Source organism: Homo sapiens, chromosome 11 (assembly GCF_000001405.40).
Source record: "Homo sapiens chromosome 11, GRCh38.p14 Primary Assembly".
Classification (NCBI taxonomy): domain Eukaryota; kingdom Metazoa; phylum Chordata; class Mammalia; order Primates; family Hominidae; genus Homo; species Homo sapiens.
In genome coordinates this window covers 96,202,267-96,208,762 of record NC_000011.10, presented here as the reverse complement: position 1 = coordinate 96,208,762, position 6,496 = coordinate 96,202,267, and the positions used below count along the sequence as shown (strand labels likewise).

At 38.6% G+C, this 6,496-nt stretch overlaps 1 protein-coding gene across 3 annotated transcripts in view; it reads left to right on the top strand.

Moving 5' to 3' along the window:
* The window catches only part of MAML2 (mastermind like transcriptional coactivator 2), a 366,598-nt gene that overhangs the window by 134,433 nt on the left and 225,669 nt on the right, over positions 1 to 6,496 (top strand). The gene's annotated exons all lie outside the window — the stretch shown is intronic.

Here is a 6,496-nt window from a genome sequence, read left to right as displayed (position 1 = left end):
TTAATAATTGACCTTCTGAGTTCTTTTTCTGGCAATTCAGAGATTTTGTCTTGGTTTGGATCCATTGCTGGTGAACTAGTGTTATCTTTGGGGGGTGTTAAAGAACTTTATTTTGTCATATTACCAGAATTAATAAACTAGTAAGTTAACAAACTCAAAATTCATCTCATTTAATATATCATCCAGGGTTAGCCCTGCCTTAATTCTCAGGTTTACCTGAACTTTATTACTTCAAGTATCTCTACATGAAATAAATGAAACAAGAGTTCCTCAAGTGACTGTAACAACTAAAGAAAAATACTTCTGTTTGTTTCCAAATGGTTCTTTTTTAATAGTCCCAGAAATCAATGCTGAAATGCTAAAACATTAGAGCAGAATGTACAAAACGTTCTTGAATTATATTTCATTCTTGGGTGCCAGGCACACTGGGTTTGTATCTCACAACACTGAAATAATAAAAAGCAGGTGCCCTGTCAAGTTGCTTTTGTAATTGGGAAGCTAGGAGGTGATGTATTTTGCTAAGAATTTTGACAGAATAACCCCATTGGAGGAGTCTAATGCCCTTATTATAGGCTGAATAAGATAGAGTTTGGGAGGGGACATAGTACTTGAGAATACAGTAGATGAAAAATTAGACTAATAATACTTTTTATGACTTACAGAAAATAAATCTTTTTTAAAATCACTGCAGCAAAAAATGTGGCCTGTTGCTAAGAAGAGTTTGTTCCATATGATGGAGACTCTGAGTTTGGGAGCTTAGAAAAAAACCCAGCAAGTGTGTTAGTATGGAGAAAACAGGAAGACAGCTTCCTCTCTGAATATACACCATTTCCTGGAGAGGAAGTGAGGGCTTAAAAAAAAGTTCTTTGTTGGCTCTGTAACAGAGAGGCATCTATTTAGTGATGACCGTATATGTTTACACAAGCCAGGATATAGATCTTAAAAACAGTAAAGCCTTGAAAGTGCCTTCTTTATTCGATAATGGCAAGATGCAGAGCCCTTGGATTAGTTGGTGTGATATCTGTTGTATTTTGTAATCATCACTGGTTTACTCACAGCCATGCATATACTGCCTGGACAATTTTTAAGGGACAGCAGTTATACTCCATACGGTAAAGTGGATTTCACCTCTGTTTTTCTTTTGACTGTGTTGGCATATCCTGAGGCAACCACACTATCTCACAGGCAGAGCAGCAGAGGGCCTGGGTTTTATTGCCCTGCATGCCAGAACACAGTCTCACCTAAGATGTGCATAGGTAAAAGAGGCCGCCCCAGGCAGGCAGTTATGTAGTTGCACATAATCTGTGTTGAGTTTGGCTGCTGGCTGCAATTTGTTTATAATCAACTTCATTGAAGGATGAAGCAATATCATTAAAGAGACCACAATTTACCAACTAATTTGGGGAATTGGATCTAAGATGGTACCTTACCTTGACTTTTACTGAGTGTTTAGACAGAATTTGCCCTATAACCTTTAAGAGGCTTAAAAGATGGGCCAGTGAATAATTAAAATGACATCCTTTGCAGCACAGTGTTGCCCAGCAGAAAGAGCACACAACAAAAAGCTATGCTTGGAGGACCCCAAAGCCATAGATTTCCAGATTACAATAGAGAAGTCTAACTGGTGCAGTTACAAGAAAACAAGTCCTTTTATAGAGGGCAGACTAAATCTCTTGTATGAAAACAAAAAGGGAAGCAGACTTAACATCTTTCCTTAAGTTACCTTGAAAGAATGTTATGGTTTAAATTTACTGCGTTTTTGCAGGAGGTTGGGCGATGATATTTCCCTGCCCCTTTTTTATGCTGGTAACACTTCATCGTGGTCTATATAACTTTTGTTTTTTATTTACCAAACATGATATTTTTAAAAGATTCTTCTAAAACCATTTGTTTTCCCGGTGCTCCTTTTCATACCTCTATTTTTCCAGAAATTTCCAAAGTATTTGATAAATAATAATATGGAGTTGCAGGGCTGCTCCAAAATCCATAACCAAAGCAGCTTTTATTTTCTCACATAGTTGACTTTATGTGTGGACTTTGCAGACAAGAATAAAAGAAGAAAACATCTGTACTCTTTTACTTTAGGTCTGAAAAGCACAAAATGAAATGGGTTTCCTGATGAACCTTTACTCACTGGCAGCCATTCTGGCAATTTCTATTTTTTTGAGATGGAGTCTCGCTCTTTCACCCAGGCTGCAGTGCAGTCGTACAATCTCGGCTCACTGCAACCTCCGCCTCCTGGGTTCAAGCGATTCTCCTGCCTCAGGCTCCTGAGTGGCTAGGATTACAGGTACACAACCATGCCTGGCTAATTTTGTTTTATATTTTTAGTAGAGATAGGGTTTTACCATGTTGGTCAGGCTGGTCTCAAACTCCTGACTTCGTGATCTGCCCGCCTCGGCCTCCCAAAGTGCTGGGATTACAGGCATGAGCCACCGCACCCGCCTATCCGGCAATTTCAATATCTCTGCAATTATAAACACTTTTCAGCAGAATTGTTTACTTTCTCTTGTATTACTGATACTCACCCCAAATATTCATGTTGCATAAAGAAACTCATTTTTGATAACATATAAGCTATACTTATTTTCCATGTTCACAAAGCATTTTGAAAAGATCAAGGAATTATTTCTAGATAACACATAAAAACTTCTATTGCTTAACCTTCTCAATAATTAAAAAAAAAAAAGAGTCAATCAAAACTGAAATTAAGAAAGCTTTTAGAACCAGAAAGTTCATATAAGGCATCATTTTTACCAAAGACATCAGTTTTTCCTTAGGCACAAAAGTAAACTTTGTTTCTTCTTAAACGTGTAAAAATTTGCATGGACAACATGAGCAAAACACCTGAAAGTTTGAAAACAAAGTGCAGAAACAAACCTCAATGCTCAACTGTATTAGCTGTAAGCCAGACGGGAATCTTTCCAAAGGAGCAACAAAGAAGGTAGGGATGGATGAAGGAAGACACATCTTTGACCTTTGAGAGGAAAGAAAAGAAAAGGGTTCCGATGGCCAGGCAACCTCCAGCCATCAGTCCCATCAGTTAGAAGAGCAGAAGGCAGCTCATCAGAAGCAGCGACATTTGGGCTACTGCAAGAGCAATTATTTTGCTTGCCAAGTCAATTCAGCCTGTGAGCTACATAGGCTCTAGTTTAAGCAACATGAATCATACAACTGCTCTCATTATCATGTTTGAAGGTGTCCCTTCACAAGCCTGCTGTTTTACCACACAGTACTGGTCTGCCTAAAAAACAGTAAAATTGAATTAAACTTAGCCCGAGCCTCTTGAAGGCAGTGACTATGTCATATTTATATTTGTACCCCAAGTGCAGTGCCTGAAATGTGTTAGACATTAGATGCTAAATGCATGATGCTAAATGCATGTTGGATGATTAAACAAGTATAGAGCATCTGCAATATACCAGGCATCATGTTAAGGCCCGGGGATGGTCCCTGGGAGTTCACTCACAGTCTTGTAGAAATGAGTAAATGAATATATTGGTAAGTTTGCTGCATTCAAGTAGACTGAATAATTGTTACTAACAAAACAAGGAATGGCAACAATTAGGTCACTACAGTAATTGCTCAAAGCACAATTAACAGACTGGAGCATTCAATTATGTGGCAACCATATGGTTATGCATTTCACCATGTTGACATCATACTGTAAAATTCACACATTATATGAAAAGAAATTACGCCAGGAAAGTACAGGCTACCACAAAGTAAAGTGAAAAACACATTACTGAAATTTACTGCTAAGCAACAGATATAGGACTCTGAGCTTTCGATTCTTAAGAAGTTCACTGATGCCAATTTCAAGAGGCCCTCCGATCAATGTAATAAGAATGAAGGATAAAGAGAAATGAAATGTAGTAGAGCAATGATGAGAGGAGAAAGGCAACTAATTTAATTTAGGTGCACCTAAAATTACATCGAAAACATGTTACACCTTCAAGATTCACCTTGGCAGAAAGCCAGGAAACCTGAGTCCTTGTCCTCTCTCTCTGCTACTAAGTGGCTGTATGAACTTAAGCAGATTCCTTCAACATAATGTGACTGCAATGCGCTATTTCTGATATAAATTGTGGTTTAAAAAAACAAAAACAAAAACTCTTGGAGTCTTTGGTGAGACCTCTTAATGCATATGCTTTTATCTATGTAAATATATCAGAATTATAGGCCCATAAATCAGTGACCTCTTTATTATCTTGAATACAATTAACCTGATCTTACTGGTAAAGGCTGTGTGTCAGCAATTCCCTAGTAATGTCCCTTTCCAAAGGATAGCTCTTTCTCAACCCTCTTTGTTTTCACAACACTTTTGCAAATTTCTGTTACAGAACTTGCCTGAATCAATGCACATTACTTAGTCTGTTTGTAAGTCTGTCATCTACGCTAGGCTCTGAATTATTGAGGGCAGACACAATGACCTACTCTTCTTTTAGCGTCCTTCCATAGTACAGGGGTTGGCGCGTAGTAGGTGCTCAATAAATATTGAATGACTATTTAATTAACTTGGGTGGGCAATAGTATATGTGGTGCATGTCACATGTCTTCCATTTGCCCCTCCAAGTGCACCTACACCCTTTTGTCCCTGCTGGTCAGAAGGCCCATGCTTCCTTTCAAGGCAGCCTGCCCCACAGGACTCTCTCTCCTCAGTTCCAGAAACCTCTCCCTCCCTCAGTCCTTCAGGCCTAGGGATGCTGACAGCATCTCTGTAGTTAGCCCTGGGTTCCCGCTGTATCCCTGGAGATTCCCCCACACCCTATTTACACCTGGATAATTAGTCCTTAACCCCTTCATGAATTATCCTAAGTCAAGTGCACCATCTATTTCCTGTGAGAGCACTCACTAATACAGTAGATTAGAAAGGAGAAAGATTTCTGTTTAAAATGTGTTTTTGCACTCATATTATTGAGAATAACCGCACTGAATTTTTTGAAAACATTTAACAAATAGATCCTTGGGTAGGCTAAATATTTTCATGCATGGCTGACCTGCACTGATTCACTCATTCCAAAGTATGTTACAGATTCATTTCCGTTTCTACACCATATATGTATTTTGCATTTGAATTAGTAAGTATGTTCATGTTTGGTCATTTGTGTTTAAGTGTATTTCTCTGTGACTTGCGACTTCTTGCATTAGAATATAAGTGCCTCAAGAGAAAGGATACTATGTTTTTCTTTTACTTTTTTTTGTAAAGGCTTGCTCCTAGCAGCTTGCCGGCTGACTTATATCTAAAAAAACTAAATAAAATTTGTTAATTATGAATACAGCTTAATAAATGTACAGCCAGATCTGACAACAAACATTTTGCACATTTTTAAGGCATAATCTGATAGGACTTGTTGCATTCTTTTCCAGAGCCAGCAATTCTTAAGGAAGTGAAATACCTAGTCAATTGGTGTATTCATGGTGCAATTATTTGAAAAATCATTAAAATATCTGTTCTTTAGAGAATGTTAAACATATTAATTCAGGTAATTGTCCAGATATGCTGTGCCTTTGTCACTGATGTGTAAACACCATGAAGTCAGCAACTTTTTCTGTTTTGCATATGTCTGAATGCCCAGTGCCTAAAACACAGCCTGGCATCTATAAGGTATTCAATAGGTATTTGTTGATTAAATGAATATATGGAGGCTTGGTTATATTATTGTAGCCTGATATGTTACATTTGCAATTGCTGTGCTGTCATTCATAAATGATTTTAAAAGGCAATTTAGATTCCTTTTTTTCAACATATTTATTGCCTTGTTACTGTGTTCAAAACTTTACTAGGTGTTTCCTTTGGGAGCTCACATTCTATAGGTAAAAAATATCATCTGAGGCTAGACGTGATGGCTCATACCTGTAATCTGAGCACTTTGGGAGGCCGAGGCGGATAGATCACCTGAGGTCAGCAATTCGAGACCAGCCTGGCCAACGTGGTGAAACCCTGTCTCTACCAAAAATACAAAATTAGCCAGGCGTGGTGGCATGTGCCTGTAATCCCAGCTACTCGGGAGGCTAAGGACAGGAGAATCGCTTGAACCCGGGAGGTGGAGGTTGCAGTGAGCCAAGATCGTGCCATTGCACTCCAGCCTGGGTGACAAGAGCGAAAATCCGTTTCAAAAAAAAAAAAAAATTTCATCTGGAACACAGCATAGTTACTTAATGGATCCTATCTCTATGGCTTTTCTTTCACATCACATCTTTACCCAAAGCAAGCTTTACTAACCTTCATTCTCCTAATCCCTGATTTTTGCAGGCTTTGAAGAATTATATTGAAGCAATTAGCACTTTCCTAACGCATTCCTGATCCTACCTGGGATTCCATAACTGGTGACCATGCTTTGCCTTTCATGTAGACTTGGTTACTCCAATAAAACTGCTGAAACATAATCAATTTTTTTTTTTTTTTTTTGAGATGGAGTCTTGCTCTGTCACCCAGGCTGGAGTGCAGTGGTGAGATCTCGGCTCGCTGCAATCTCCACCTCCCGGGTTCACA